Raw genomic sequence first — 17,382 nt, 5'->3', positions numbered from 1 at the left:
TCTATTTTCATTCTAGGAGTTCAAGGAAAGAATTGTTTGCTAATATGTGTGGCTATGCTGAGGTAATACAAATAAAAAAGAAATAGTACAGTGGACTTTTTTTTTTTTACAAGATTCTTTTCTAAAGCGTCCTTTCTCACGGGAGTGCATGGAACTTCAACAAGATTACTTTTGTTTTCATCAGAGAGAACAGTTAGCTCAATATAGCTGGGTTGCACAATCTTTAACAGGACTGTCCCATATAACATACAGTAAAAACATTAGGAAAATGTAAAATAATGTTTATAATTTGCTAAACATGGTTTTAAAAACCATCCTAGTCTCTAAAAGTCATCATAACATTTTTTTTTTTTGAGACAGGGTCCCACTCTGTCACCCAGGCTGGAGTGCAGTGGCGCAATCACAGCTCACTGTAGCCTCAACCTCCGAAGCTCAAGCAATCCTCTCACCTCGGTCTCCTAAACAGCTGGGACCATAGATGTGTGCTACCACGCCCAGCTTATTTTTTATTTTTTGTAAAGATGGGAATCTCACTATGTTGTCCAGGCTGGCCTCAAACTCCTGGGCTCAAGCAATCCATCTGTACTGGCCTCCCAAAGTGCTGGGATTACAGATGTGAACCACTGTGTCTGGTTTCTTATAACTTCTGACCCACCCATCAAGCCCCATAAACACTTGCTGTTGTCCCGTCTCTGTTCTCGGATCCATTTAAACACTTCTTACCTATAAACAGATTCCACTCTGTGTCGAGGTCAGCCTGATTTGCCAAGCAGCCCTTCATGACGTTGAGACAGTAGTTGTTGCAGGGCCTCACAGTGGGAAGCCCCCGACAGTATGGGCAGTACAGCATCTTCATGAGGGCACGGATACACCCTGGGGTTGGGCTGACCTGCAGATTTATTGCAAAGAAAAAGAAAATCAAAAATAAGAAGGATAAAGAGGAGGAAAAAAAGACAAAATAGCAGTGATAAACCACAAGCAGAATCTTAACCCTTTGTAATTACTGATCTTGAATCCATCCAATTCCTGTTGAATTCTTCTGCTTGGCATAGTAATAACTTTTTTGCATGTCCCTGTCAACATTTTCATATCGATGTCATTGTAATTCAGCCCTAAAGCCTAGACACTGTTTCATTGCCATAGAAGATGGAATGAGATAATGCATGTGAAAGCAGTTTGCAAAGTTAAAAGCCCCATAAAAACGTAGGTATTATTAAAGTTTAATGTGACACATTTAGAAAATTTTCCAACTGCTTATTTGACCCTGTTTCTAAAGGAGGTTGGCAGATATATTTCCTTTGTACATAACGTTTCTTCAAAGATCAATATCAACTTGTCTGAGATCTCTAAGATCCAGGCCTGCTTAGAAGCAATGGAACTGCCAAGGTACCATCTTTGGGCATCTGCAGCTTTTGCACTTCTGGAAAATTCATGGAAAATTTCAGGGACCAGTGTTAAATGTGAGAAGCAATCCTTGCAGTAATTCAGAGGAGCTACGTATCCACTGACAATGAAATCCTATTTGCCCTGGATCAGAAAATCAGGGCTCCTCAATTAATCAATTCTAAACCAATAAGGGCTTTTTAAGACTCATTAAGAATTCTAATTTGACTTCAAGAGGAAGGAATATTTAAGACAGGATATGGTCCCCACCCAAATCTCATCGTGAATTATAGTTTCCATAATCCCCACATCATGGGAGGTGAATCATGGGGGCAGTTACTCTCATCCTGCTATTCTTGTGATAGTGAGGGAGTTCTCACCAGATGTGATGGTTTTATAGGGGGGCTTTTTCCCCTTTTGCTTGGCACTTCTCCTCACTGCCACCATGTGAAGAAGGATGTGTTTGCTTCCCCTTCTGCCATGATTGTAGTTTCTTGAGACCTCCTCAGCCATGCTGCACTGTGCATCAATTAAACTTCTTTCCTTTAAAAAATTATACTCTCGGGCAGTGCTTTATAGTAGTATGTGAGAATGAACTCATACAAGATAGTGGAGACCAAAATTAGAAAGCAAATACAGAAAACTACTCTTATTCATGACTAGATGTAAAAATTGTTGCCATATTCATTTGGTTGGTTCCATATCACTTTGATATTTTAGTCAAGTAACTATACATTGCTGTACTTGCATTCTAGATCTGAGGAAAAAAATCTAATTTGTATCATTTGGCCCTCTTGGAGAGTGGTGGACTTGAGCTCACAGGTAACAAGAACATTCAGATGCTGAAGAAACATAACACCAGTGTATTGATGGAACAACAAGAAATATTTCCACATAAATGGATACTTTCAATTACTATAGCTATTTCTCTATGATTCTATCCCTTACCTAGGATCAATTTTGAGATTCTTAATGCAAGCCTTTGGTTTCTGTAACATTTTCTTAATTTTACCCAGTATGTTGACAAAATCACTAAAAAAATTATTTTAGGAAATAAAGCTGTCTATTTAGGCACTAAAATTTCTAGTTGTCCTTTTGAGTTTTTTTGCATTTTCTTTCCAAAATTTTATGAAAGTTTTCAAACATGCAGAATAGGTGAAAGACTTTTACAGTTCACAGCCACATTTCCTACATGGTACAATTTACGTTTTTCTACAGTTGCTTTTTCACACATCTGTCCATCCTTCTACCCATCCTCATTAACCTACCTCATTTTTCATGCCAAAGTAATATCCTTTAATTTTTTTTATCCCAGAGTAATATCCTTTTCATTTTTACTTTTCCTGATAATTCAATACTGGCTTGAATAAAATAGAATCAACATGATCAACAATAGAAAGTCAGTGAGTAAAATACTGTAAGTCAAATAAATGAAGTAAAATATAATTGGCCTTTCTTTATAAAGGTATTCATAGAAGGGTTTCCTATCGATTAATTCTAAAACTCATTTTCCAACAACAAAACAGAAACAATAAATGGGTATAAAGGTGAGGAGTCTGTTGACTTTTCTTTTAAGGATATATTAATGCCATTATGTAATCTCCAGACAGGCTATTTTGTAGATAGAGCCAAATTTGTCCAAGGCCATACCATGCTGAATGCACCCAATCTCACCTGATCTTGGAAGCTAAGGAGGGTTGGGCCAGGTTAGTACTTGGATGGGAGATAGTGCCAAGTTTTACCCGTAACTGAGCAGCACTGTTTCAGAATTTTCCTTTATCACATGTGTCCCAAGCCATTCACAAAAAAAGAAAAAAAAAAAAAACAGGAAAAAGAATTTTGCATTCCTCAGACAATATTAATGTGAAATTTAAAATTCTTACACATTTTCCTTATTGGCATGGTTGCTATCTTGCAAACTTACTGGGCATGGTTACTAACTTGCAAACCTTTACCACAGGATTTTATTTTCTACAGCCTTGCAATTTCTCTCCTGACTGATGCTTTTCTCCAAAGACTACCCAATTTTCACTTGGGCTAACTAAGGTATTTCTACGTTTGAATCTGTTGGGTTTTGGTTATCTCACCATTGGTATTAAATGATGCTGTGCTTCTCACTCAGTGTTCTGGTATTAGAACCTAGAGCATTTGCCAATATTGGGGATATAAATTTGAGATCTCTTGGATGCCAAGGACTGTCTCATTCATTTTTATAACTTTCACTGCTACGCATTTTATAACCTTGTGCTATGCACAACATGCACATCATATAAGGTATTACAATGATGACTTGGGTATTTGTTAAGTGCTTATTGAATCAAATGCTCTATTGTGCTTCCCCATTTCTTGGCCACATTGATATTCAAATTAAAAAAAAGAACAAGATGATTTTATACATCTTAGCATTCAATTGTTGCTTTTTAACTTTGTTTTCAAAGGCTATTGATTGCATTCATTCCAAAGCTTTTCATTTGTTTTTTTCATTGTGTTGGAACCAGTACTATTTTCTCAGTCTGACATTTCAGAAGAGTCTCCAACTCGGGGTAGCAACCAACAGAGAAAATTGAACAGCCTTAATAATCTGAAAGAACAATGTTGTTCAAGTTAAATGTGGGTCTCCTAGTACTTCTGGAAATGATATCCTTCCTGGTCAAATAAAGGGCAGTTGAAGAAGAAGAAAATGGAGCCCAGGGGATCAGAGTCGAAGCTTTCATGTTCACAAATCACATCTTTTGAGCTTACACAAGGGCATGCTTGAATTAAAATAAAAATCATCACTTCAAACTGAAGACTTTTAAAAGTAAGCTTCTGAAAATGTTGCTTTAAATGCCAATTGTGTGAGGAGACATCTCTATTTTTCATAGTGTTTTATAATTGCACAATAGATACTCTTTAAAATCTTTTCATTTTGAAATTAATATAAGCTCAAAAATAGTTTAAAAAATAATAAACTCCTGTGTATCCTTCCTTCAACTTGCCTCAATAGTGACATCTTATATAGCTGTTGTGTAATATAAAAATGAGGAAAGTGACATTAGTACATTGCTATTAACTAGTCTGTAGACCTCAGATTTTAGAGTTTATGAACCTGTATTCACTTGTGTGTGTGTGTGTGTGTGTGTGTGTGTGTGTCTATACACAGTTCTATGCTATTTTATTTCATGTATTCATTTGTGGAACCACCACCACCACAATCAACATACAGAACTGTTCTATCACCATAAAAGAACTCCCTTTTGCTACCTTCGCCTCATCTAATGTCCCCATCACCTGGCAACCACTAATCTATTTTCCAACTCTATAATTTTGTCATTTCAAGAATTCTATATAAATAAAACCATACAATAAGTAACCTTTTGAGCTTGACTTTTTTTTTCTGAGCATAATGCCCTCAAGGTCCATCCAACTTGTTGCATATATTAATAGTTCATCTCTTTTTATTGCTGAGTAGTATTCCATTATTTGGATGTATCAGAATTTATTTAACTACTCTCCCACTGAAGGATATCTGGGTTGTTTCCATTACTTTCTTATTAGGAATAAAGTTGCTATGCGGATTTATGTACAAGTTTTTGTAGAAATATACATTTTCATTTCTCTGAAAGAAATGCCCAAGGGTGCAATTGCTGGATCACATGGTGGTAAGAGTATGTTTCGTTTTGTAAGAAATCGCTAAACTGTTTCCAGCTTGTTTGTAACATTTTACATTTCTACCAGCAATATGTGAGACCTCCAGTTTTATCCAAATTTTTACAGTGTATGTGACTGTCACTATTTTAGCCTTTCCATGGGTGTATCATGTACTTTTAAGTTTATCATGAGTTTCCTCTGGATAATATTTATACCAGTATTTAAGTTGAGTAGATGTCAATGATCCAAAATGATCCACCAACTGGTTTGTGTAAAACATCCAACATTAAAAAAAAAAACTCTGAAAAATTAGATAAGTCTATATGTTTAGCAAAACCAAAATAAAGAAAAGAGTTCTAAAAACTCATACTTAAAATTTAAAATAGAATAACACCTCAAGCTTAGAGGGCTTATGTGGACTATTTGTAAATGTATGGACCTTTAGAAAAAAAATTACTGAAAAAAATGTATTCTTTTAGCAACAATAAAGAACACAATCCCTCTTTAGAAATAAAAAGCTGAGATTATTTTTTTAGTTGGTAATGTGGATTTTTGTTTATTTTTTAAATAATGTAGCTGTAACTTTCCAGATAGTCATAGTAAACTGGGAAATAAACTTGGGTCAAAGAATAAGCTGATGATGACAACATTATTTTTAATACTTATTTGAGCTCTCACCTAACTTTTACATGCTATTCATAATCTTTTATCAAGGACTTATGAAGACATTTCTCCAAAGATGACACAAAAATGGCCAACAGGAACATGAAAAGGTTCCCAACATCATTAGTCATCAGAGGAATGCACTATGAGATGCCATCTCACACCTGTTAGGATAAAAGCAGATGATAACAAGTGTTGGCAAGGGTGTGGAGAAAAATGGAACCCTTGTACATTGTTGGTGAGAAAAGGGATTGATGTGGCCATTAAAGAAAACAATATGGAGGTTCCTAAAGAAACTAAAAATAAAAACCAGTATAAAGTCCAGTAATCCCTTTTCTGGTTATATATACCCAAAGGAAATGAAATCACCACCTTGTAAAGATATCTGCACTTCCATGTTTATTGCAGCTTTATTCACAATAGCCAAGATATGAAAATAACACAGGTGTGCATCATGGAAAGAATGGATAAAGAAGTTGGTATATATGCACAATAAAATATTATTGAGTCTTAAAAAAAGGAGTTCCTGCCATCTGCCACAACATGAATGGACATATAGGACATTATCCTAAGTGAAAAAAGCCAGACACAGAAAGAAAAATATTGCATGATTTCAAATATTTGTGGCATCTGGGGAAAAAGGGTCAATTATATAGAGATAGAGAATAAAATGGCGGTTACAAGGGTTAGGATTGGGTCAGGAAATGGGGATATATAAGTCAAGGATGAAAAGTAGCAATTATGTAGAATGAACAATTTGAAAGATCTAATGTACAAAATGAAGATTATAGTTAACACTAGTGTACTGTATTCAGGACTTTTGCTAAAGAAAAAGATTACAGCGATTCTCTGAGAGGGGATGGGTGACTGGGTAAGATGATGGGTATATTAATTTGTTCCACTACAGTAACCATTTTGCTATGTCCATGTATCTTAAACATCATGATATATACCTTAAAGATACACAGTAAAATTTATTTTGAAAACAATAATCTTTTACAATATTAGTTGGGAAAAAAGAAAATAGTCAATTGTTCCAATTTAATTTTCCCACTACTGAAAAGACAGACACAAGTTTGTGAGCCAACTAAGTGAGATTTTGATAAGAATTCATTACATCTTGGATTTAGTTATTTTTTAATTTTCTGCTTGTGTATAATGATTGACATACATTATTATTTTGTAATTGATATTACAGTTTACTAGTCTTGAAAATATAGTAAAATTTATAACCAACGATCCTTGTAAAATAAACAAAAAGTAAATAAAATAACAAAAATCATTGAGTTCATTTGGAAACTCACTAATTTTTTTTTTATGGCTAAAGTGCAACACATTGAAACATATCAAGGAATACAAAAAGAATCCTTAATAAAGCTGTATTGTGGGGTAGGACAGAGACTTATCTACCTGGCTAGCCATGTATGTCAAAATGTTTTAGCAAGTAATTCTTATGTTTTCTAAACGGGACTTGAGGTATAGCATGTTCTTAGCCATGTAATAATATTTCATTTCAGGTCTCTAATACACTTAAGATTTCTATATCTGGACCAGCATTGATGCATGGATGCTCACATTAGCTATTCCTAATAGTAGCCAATGTAACACGTGACTGTTTCTTAAAATATTAAATAAGCAAGAAAATATGTGAAAGTTAAAAGTATATATATATATATATATACACACAATGAACATACACCTAGCAGATGCTTGTTTCTATGAAAATCATATAACCAAAATAATCAAATAAACATATCTATCTTCTGCTCTCAAAAGATAGATAAGTTAATGTAAGTAAAACATTCAGCTAGAATACATTCTAAATGTCCTTTTGGGCAAGAGTTGATGCTTTCTTCCACAGTTTCTAATGTACAGTCACATTAAATGATGACTCATAAGAGTCATAATGAGTCATAATATGTCATTTAAGATGACTCTTGTGATTATGATCTTTTGATTTTCCTCATAATCTTATATCACCAGATCCTAAAGAATGATTAAATTACATGTAAAGTATCTTTTGTGTTAAATATTTCTGATTTTGATTCTTTAATAGTAACCTATAAATAGGCTTTGTAGTAAGCTCATGGGAAATTAAATTTATTTCATCTTTATTCATTTGTGCAACCTTCATTCATCCATTTACTGGGATGAAAGAAGAAACCTAGTGCCATTATTGGGATGCCCAGAATATGTTCATGTTCAGTCATTTGAGGGAAATAATTATTATCTTGGGGAAATGCAATGTAAAGGGAACCCATAAAAGGACAATTAGCTTAGAACTGAGAAGCCAGAGTAGACAGGGAGGGCTCTTGAAGGAAGGCATGTAACAGACGCCTGTAAGATAAGCATGGAAGATGAGTGATGTCACACAAATGGCAGACACAGTGCCAATAATTAGTCCCGCCACTGAAGAAAAGAGCAAAACTAGCAAAAAATGACATGACAGAATCAACTTTTCAGAACACTGGAATCTAATAAAAACATACAGCAACCAGAAGAGCACTTAGTCAAGAAAGAGACTGATAAATTTCAGTCGAAAAAGCATTACTAAATTTCAAGTCTTAAATTTGAAAAGATTGCAATCGTACAAAGTATATTCTCTGACCACAAAGGAATGAAGCTAGAAATCAGTAACAGAGGGAAAACTGAAAAGTTCACAAGGACGTGAAAATTAAACCACATACGTTTCATACAAACAATGGGTTAAGGAATAAATCACTAGGGAAAATAGAAAATACTTAGATGAATGAAAATGAAAACACAACATGCCAAAACTTATAGCCATAAATGCCTATGTTAAAAGAGAAGAAAGATTTCAAATCAATAACCTCACTTTATACCTTAAGGAACTAGAAAAAAAGGAAAAAACTAAGCCCAAAGCTAGTGGAAGAAAAGAAATAATAAAGATTAGAGTGAAAATAAACAAAAAAAGCAAATAGAGAAACAGCAGAGAAAGTCAATGGAACCAACAACTGGTTCTTTGAAAAGATCAACCAAATCGACCAATTTTCAGCTAGGCTGACTATCAAAGAGAGAAAAGAAAAAGTAACTAAAATCAGAAGTGAAAGAAGGAACATTACTCTCAATCTTACAGAGATAAAGATGATTATATAAAAATGCTATGAACAGTTGTACGCTGTGGTGGATTAAATAGAATCCTGACAAAATGCATGTCCATCCAGAGCCTACAAATAAGACTTTATTAGGAAATAGGGTATTTGCCAATATAAATAAAGTAAGGATCTAGATAAGATCGTACTTCATTAGGATAAGCCCTAAATCCAGTGAAAGTGTCCCTGTAAGAGACAGAAAAGGACACTCAGAGACACAAAGAAGAAGATGATGTGAAGATTGAGGCAGTGACTGGAGCAATGCATTGATAAGCAAGAAATAACAAGGATTACTGGCAACCACCCGCCAGAAGCCGGGAGAGAGGCATGGGACAGTGTTTCCCTCCAAGCATCCAGAAAGAACCACCTGACAACCTGAGTTCCGACTTCTTGGCTTCTGACAATCTGATTTCAGACTTCTAAGCGCCTGAACTATGAAATAGTTTCTGTTGTTTTCAGCCACTCAGTTTGTGGTAATATAATATACACCCACAAATTATATAACCTTAATACAAAAAATCCCTGGAAAGATACACCCTACCAAGACTGAATCATGAAGAAATAAAAAACATGAATAGACCTATAATAAGTAAAGACATGGAGTCAGTAATAAAACACCTCCGGACAAAGAAAAACTCTGGACCAGATGGCTTAACTTGTAAATTCTACCAAACATTAAAGAAGAATCAAGAAAAATCCTTCTTAAACTCTTCCAAAAAACAGAAGATGAGGTAACACTTCCTAACTCATTCTGAGAGAGCAGCACTACCTGATACCAAAGCCAGACAAAGACATAATAAGGAAAGAAAACTGCAGACCAGCAGTCTCCAACCCTTTTGGCACAAGTTTCGTGGAAGACAATTTTTCCGTGGACAGGTGTGGGGGTGGGGGAATGGTTGTGGGATGAAACTGTTCCACCTCGGATCATCAAGCATTAGTTAGATTCTCATAAGGAGCATGCAACCTAGATCCCTTGCATATGCAGTTCACAATAGGGTCCACACTCCTATAAGAATCTATTGCCCCACTGATCTGACAGGAGGTGGAGTTCAGGTGGTAATGCTCACTCATCAGGTGCTCATGTCCTGCTGTGTGAACCCGTTCCTAACAGGCCACAGTCCACGGCTGGGGGGTTGGGGACCCCTGCTATAGACAAATACCCCTTATATATGTTGACTAAAAAGTCTTTAACAAAACACTATCAAAGCAAATCCAAGAGCATATTAAAAGGATTATACAGCCCGGTGCAGTGGCTCATGCCTGTAATCCCAGAATTTTGGGAGGCCGAGGCAGCAGGATCACCTGAGGTCAGGAGTTCGAGACCAGCCTGGCCAACATGGTGAAACCCCATCTCTACTAAAAACAAAAACAATTAGCCGGATGTGGTGGCATGTGCCTGTAGGTACAATTACTCGGGAGGCTGAGGCAGGAGAATTGCTTGAACCTGGGAGGCGGAGGTTGCAGTGAGCGGAGATCGCACCACTGCACTCCAGCCTGAGCAACAGAGTGAGACTTCATCTCAGAAAAAAAAAAAAAGGATTATACTACACACTAACCAAATGAGATTTCTCCCAGAAAGTTAAGGGTGATTCAACATAAGAAACTGTCAATATAATACGTGTCTAGTAAGAGAACAAAGGAAAAACACACACAATCATCTAAATTATGCAGAAAAGAAATTTAATGAAATCCACCACACTTTTATGATAAAAATATACAGAAAAGTAGGAATAGAAGGGAATTCTCTAAACATGATAATGGACATTTATGAAAACTCACAGCTAACATCATATTCAATGATATAAGACTGAAAGATTTCTCTCTAAGATAAGGACAAGGAAGCTTGCTTTCATCACTGCTGTTTAACACTGTATTGAAAATTGTAGCCACTTTGGGAGGCTGAGGCGGGTGGATCACAAGGTCAGGAGTTCAAGACCAGCCTAGCCAAGATGGTGAAACCCCATCTCTACTAAAAATACAAAAATTTGCTGGGTGTCGTGGTGGGTGCCTGTAATCCCAGCTACTCGGAAGGCTGAGACAGATAATTGCTTGAACTTGGGAGGCAGAGGTTGCAGTGAGCCAAGGTGGTGCCACTGCACTCCAGCCTGGGTGACAGAGTGAGACTCTGTCTCAAAAAATAAAAACAACAAGAACAACAACAATAAAAACTCTCTCTGCTCACAGATTACATGATCCTATAACATATGGTTTGGCTGTGTCCTCACCCAAATCTCACCTTGAATTGTAAAACTCCCCACCTATCAAGGGCAGGCCTAGGAGATAATTTTGAATCATGGGGATGGTTTTCCCCATACTGTTCTCATGGTAGTGAATAAGTCTCACAAGATCTGATGGTTTTATAAGTGGGACTTCCCTGAACAAGCTCTCTTGCCTGCCACCATGTAAGATGTACCGTTGCTTCTCTTTTGCCTTCTGCCATGATTGTGAGGCCTCCCCAGCAATGTGAGTCCATTAAACCTCTTTCCTTTATAAATTACCCAGTCATACTTCTTCATGGCAGTATAAAAATGGACTAATACAGTGTATATAGGAAATCCCAAAGAATCCATAAAAAAACCTTCTGGAGCTAATAAATAAATCTAGCAAAGTTACAGGGTACAAGATTAACCACACAAAAATGTGTTGGGTTTCTATACAGTAGCAATGAACAATGGGAAAAGAAAGTTAAGAAAACTGGCCAGGCACGGTGGCTTAAACCTGTAATTCCAGCACTTTGGGAGGCCAAGGCGGGTGGATCACGAGTTCAGGAGTTCAAGACCAGCCTGGCCAACATGGTGAAACCCCATCTCTACTAAAAATACAAAAATTAGCTGGGCATGGTGGCGGGCACCTGTAATCCCAGCTACTCAGGAGGTTGAGAGAGGAGAATCGTTTGAACCCAGGAGGCGGAGGTTGCAGTGAGCTGAGATCGCACCATTGCACTCCTGCCTGGGCAAAAAGAGCGAAACTCCATCTCAAAAAAAAAAAAAGAAAACTGTTTCATTAGCATCTTAAAAATACCTGGGAATAAATCAACTAAGAAATGATAGAATTTTACATGGAAAACTACAGAACATTGCTGAAGGAAATTACAAATGACCTAATTCAATGGAAATACATCCCATGTTTATGGACTAGAAGACATATTTTGTTAAAATAGCAATACTACTTAAAGCAATTTATAGATTCACCGCAATCTCTTTCAAAATTCTAACAGCTTTCCCTCAAGTTCATATAAAATTGCAAATGCCCAAACAGTCAAACAATCTTGAAAAAGAGAAGCTACGTTGGAGGACTCACATTTCCTGACTTCAAATGCACTACAAAGCTAAAGTAACTAATATGGTATAGTACTACCTAGCAATGCCACTTCTGGGTATTTATTCCAAAAAATTGAAAACAGGTTCTCAGAGAACATTGAAAACAATGCTTCAATTGTTACTGTGTGAGCTCCGTCTCCTGTCAGATCAGTGGAGGCATTAGATTCTCATTCACTGAAACATTATTCAAATAGCTAAGAGGTACAAACATCTTAAATGTCCATCAATGAATGAATGAGAAAAAATATGGTATAAAATAAATGGAATATTATTCAGCTTTAAAAAAGAAAGAAATCCTATCATATGCTACATCATGAGTGAACCTCAAGGGCATTATGCTACGTAAAATAAGCCAGTCACAAAAGGACAGATACCGCATGATTCTACTTATATGAAGTATCTAGAGTAGAAAAACTCATGGAAGCAGAGATCACAATGACAGTTACCTGGGGATAGGGGATGAAGAAAATGGGAGTGGCTGTTCAATGGATATAGAGTTTCAGTCATGCAAGATGGAAATATTCTAGAGATGTACTGTATGACAATGTGTAGATAGTTAACAACAATGTACTGTCAAAAAATTCTAAGAGTGTTATGCATTTTTGTAAAATAGCAACAATGACACAGTGGTACTGGTGTAAGAACAGACATACAGATCAGTGAAATAGAACTGAGACACCAGAAATGAACCCACACATTTATGGCCAATTGATTTTCAACAAGCGTGCAAAGACCATTCAAGGAGGAAAGGATAATATCCTCACCAACTCAATATGAGTCAACTGGATATCTGCATGCAAAAAAATGCAGCTGGAACCTACCCTACCTCATACCATCTACAAAAACTAACTCTAAATGGATCTATGACCTAAATATAAGAGCAAATGAAAGAAACATATGGGGTAAATCTTGATGATCTTGGATTTAAGAATGAATTCTTAGTATGACACCAAAAGAAAAAATAAATAGGACTTCATAAAAATGCATAAAAATGAAAACTTTTGTGTATCAAAGGACACTGTCAGGAAAGTAACATGATAACCAATAGATGGGAGAAAATATTTGTAAATCATATATCTGATAAGAGTCTAGTATCCAGCATATACACAACTCCACAAAAAAAGGACAAACAACCCTGTTAAAGAACAGGCAAAAGATTTGAGTAGACATTTTTCCAAAGAAGATACGCAAATGGCTAACAGACTCAACAAAACATGCTCAACATCATTAATTATTAGGGAAATGCAAATCAAAATATGATACTGCTTCACACCATTAAGATGACAATAATAAAAAAGACAGATAATAACCAGTGTGGGTGTACATGTGAAGACATTGAAACATTTATATATTGCTAATAGGGATGTATAATAGTACAGCCACATTGGAAAAACAGTTTGGCAGTTCCTCAAAAGATTAAACATAAAACTACCATGTGATCTAGCAATTCTACTTTTAGTTACATGCTCAAGAGAAATGAAAATATACATCACCCAAAAAACTTTTGCACAAATGTCTATAGCATCCTTCATAGTACCTCCAAACTGGAAACAATCCAAATATTCTCCAAATGATGAATGAGTAAACAGAATGTGGTATATCTGTACAGCAAAATATTATTCACCAATTAAAAGGAATAAAATTTGGATACATACTGCATCATGGATGAACTTTGAAAACATTATGCTAAATGACAAAAGCTACTCATAGACCATATATTGTATGATTCCATTTATATATAAAATGTCCAGAATAGGCAAATCCATAGAGACAGAAAGTAGATTAGTGGTTGTCAGGGGATGGGGCAAGGGAGTGATGGAAGCAGGTGTGGGGGCTGGAGAATGACTGCTGATGGGCCTAAGTTTTCTTTTTGTGTGACAAAAATGTTCCATAATTAGATTATGGGAACAGTGGTGCTTGCTAACACCGTAAATATACTAAAAACTTGGCCTCTACAAACGGGTGAACTTTTATAGTACATAAAATGTATCTTGATAAAGCTGTTTAAAAAGAGAAAGAACAGTTCCTCCAACAAATGAATTCCTACTGCCATATTTGAGTGTAAAGGGATTTCGGAGCTAAAGACACAATTGCTTAACCCTAACGAGAGGCTGTATTTACCCATGTAGTTATATCAAAAAAGAAACGATCTAAATAATATCAACCCTGAATTACATGATGCCAAAATTAGCTTGACGTGCATGACCTAAATGATATTTTAATACTTTCTCTCTTGAGAAGTCACCTATGATTTCAGCTGTTGCTAATGGTGGTTGGTGGAGATGAATTTCCATGCATACACACAGAAAACCTTGGGGCCTTCTAATTCCATTTGAATACTGATTAAAATGTCTACACTCTGAAACTATCTTTTCTCCATCTTGTACCATTGAGAGAGAACAAGGATAAGACAGGAAACAATTATGAATTGTAAATCAGAGCCTGAAGGAAAAATGTTCCCTACATGGATGACAAATGTTTATAATGCCACAGTGATAAAATATTCAGCCTATTTTTAAAAATTTAATTTACTTATTAACTAGGAACCTCCCCAGAAAAGCATGAGGCTTATGAAGCATTTGCAAGCCATAAAACGACAGCACTTTCTGAGTCTGGGATAAAAGGAATAGACATAATTTGCCTATCTAATAACTGTAACTGCAGAATTTCCAAAGCCAAGTTTAAGTAACATCAATGCTGTGGAACGCTTACACAACAAAAGCAGGACATAGGAAATAAGATTATTTAAGGTCTGTGTCTGTTCCTGCCAGTCCTATGTTAGCACTTGTCAGCGTATATTACAAATTCAGTGTCACCTAGATTCAGTTTCTATATTTAATTTCATTCCTTAAAACATAAGGCTAGGCACAGTGACTCATGCCTGTAATCCCAGCCCTTTGGGAGGCCAAGCCGGGCAGATCACCTGAGGTCAGGCATTCGAGACCAGCCTGACCAACATGGAGAAACCCCGTCTCCACTACAAATACAAAATTACCCAGGTGTGGTGGCACATGCCTGTAATCCCAGCTACTTGGGAAGCTGAGGCAGGAGAATCGCTTGAACCTGGGAGGCAGAGGGTGTGGTGAGCTGAGATCGCGCCATAGCACTCCAGCCTGGGCAACAAGAGTGAAACTCCATCTCAAAAACAAAAACAAAAAGCAAAAAACAAAAACACATAAATAAAACCGCCATAGGAGTTAGTAAATGTATGTTATCAATCATGTGAAAGACTGGAGTATTTCCAAATTTAGCATTTAAATTATAAACGGACATATATATATATATATATACATACACACATGCACACACAAGAATGGATATTTTTCATTCATTAGAATAAAATAGTTCTTTCTGCTAGTTAAATACATATTTCAGACAGCTTTCTAATATGTTTACCCAGTCGAACACATCATTTAAATTTTACCTTGCTGTACCATTATGAGGATTTGCCTTTTATTTGGGCAGTGTGCTTGACATTCCGAACTTTAATCAAATGTGAATTTTCAATATGTGCACACAGAATGTAAAACAAGATCCCTAAGCGTCTCATCAGGAAATAGTTGTCTTCCTCAGCTAGAAATTACAGCTTAAATACTACTTCATTTAGAAGAAACATTTTAGCAGTGAGTTTAAATATGAGTCACTGAAGTGAGAATCCACCTTGGTAAAAGCTATGAATTTCTAGCCTCTGTACAGGAATATTTACATACTTATAATGGATCTGCTTTGAAATACACAGAATCTGCCTTTAAAGTAAGGGGATGTGCCATTTTCAAGAATATAAAACCAAATCAATCACTCTCTCAGGAACATGTACAGCTTTAAACACCTAGTGTAAGTAGCTGGCATATGGTAAGAGGTGAATAATGTTAAAATATGCCCTATACACACAGGAACATGCACGGACACAACACATTGTGGTTTTTTGGTAATTCTGGATGTACAAAACATAAATATGAAGTTTGTGTTGCTATTGTTTATTGATCAATCGATCGATTAATCAATCGCCACTCTATGCACAATGATGGCTTCCTGCCAGGTTGCATTAATGCTATCTAGTTTATGGACCACCTAGTTGTTAGCACACATATGGATTCACATCAGTGATTCTAATTCCTGATGAGCCCTATGAGAAAGTCTTCCTGGCTCAAAGCAGCAGTGGGATTCCATGAATAATGCCCATTCTTAACCTCACCCTGCAAAGTACCAGCATGGACCTTTTCTGAAAAGCCTCAAAGAAGGAGAAAAAAAATAAGAGAAATATCAGAGGGAGATTATACACTAGTTTGGTAATGCTGTAATCAGTTGGCTGACAATTAAGCCATGAACTGTCATTAGCAAAGAAGTGAACATTACTTGGAAACTTCCATGGGCATGAAGAATCTGATCGGGTAGAGATCCTTCAAAAGATGCCAGTGGTGTCTCTACCCTTCAAGAATAATAAAATCAAAGGACAAAGAAAATAAGATGGCGGTCTTTGAAAGGAGAAAAAAAGACAGCACTGCATCAAGAAAAAAATGTTCTTCTTCCCTCTTTTCCAATATTAATGGAATAGATGGCTATGACTGAATTTATTTCAAGTTCATTCAGAAAATATTTAATATTTATCACCATGTGCTGGCACTGCTTGAGGTGCTATAATGAAAATGAATGATGGATTTCAAAGTTACCAGGGAGCAAGATCCACAGCAGAAGAATAACAGGTGAGAATTTGTTTGAATGAATGGCTGTACAACAGAGCTAGTGCAGAACTGACTTCATGAATAACAGGCTAGTGGGCAGCACACCATACGGAATTCCCACTGCTGCAAATGCCAGGAGAACAGGAAAAGAAACTCAAAGTGGAATATTGGGAACACGGAGGAATTCAGTATCCTTGGACTCTTGACTGATTAAATGTTTCTGTTATTTTTATCTTAAGTAAACATATTCCGAGAACAACATAATAAAAGTCTAAGTAGGATTACTGGGCATGTGGTGCCTTTCAGTATTTTCAGTATTCCCAAGAGTTCTGGGGATGGGTGAGGGAGGGGAGAATATACCAACAAAAGCACATTTTCATAAAATAAATCATGGGGTAGAAGGTTGATACAAAAATAATGTTCCTAATTTTCTTGTGTCAAGGCAACATAAAATATAGTTTCCCCAAATAATGCATGGTTGCTTGAATAATTTTTTAGTTTCAGAAGGGGGTTACTTTGAAGGATGACACCAGTTTTATTTGTAAATTATAAAATATTTGATGTAGAGGAAAGCAGTGTTACTTACAGTAA

General features: G+C 36.2%; 1 protein-coding gene and 1 pseudogene across 3 annotated transcripts in view; one reads left to right on the top strand and one right to left on the bottom strand.

The window, feature by feature from the left end:
• Positions 1-17,382, bottom strand: part of GPC6 (glypican 6) — a 1,191,492-nt gene that overhangs the window by 379,403 nt on the left and 794,707 nt on the right. For all 3 annotated transcript variants that reach the window (XM_047429990.1, NM_005708.5, XM_017020300.2), the window contains exon 4: positions 724-889. In XM_047429990.1, the coding sequence (XP_047285946.1) occupies positions 724-889 (166 nt within the window). The remainder of the gene's footprint in view (positions 1-723; positions 890-17,382) is intronic.
• On the top strand, positions 3,020-3,148 carry RNA5SP35 (RNA, 5S ribosomal pseudogene 35; annotated as a pseudogene).

The sequence above is a fragment of the Homo sapiens genome, chromosome 13 (genome assembly GCF_000001405.40).
Source record: "Homo sapiens chromosome 13, GRCh38.p14 Primary Assembly".
NCBI classification, from domain to species: domain Eukaryota; kingdom Metazoa; phylum Chordata; class Mammalia; order Primates; family Hominidae; genus Homo; species Homo sapiens.
The sequence above is the reverse complement of the archived record's forward strand: the minus strand, read 5'-3'. Positions and strand labels throughout refer to the sequence as shown.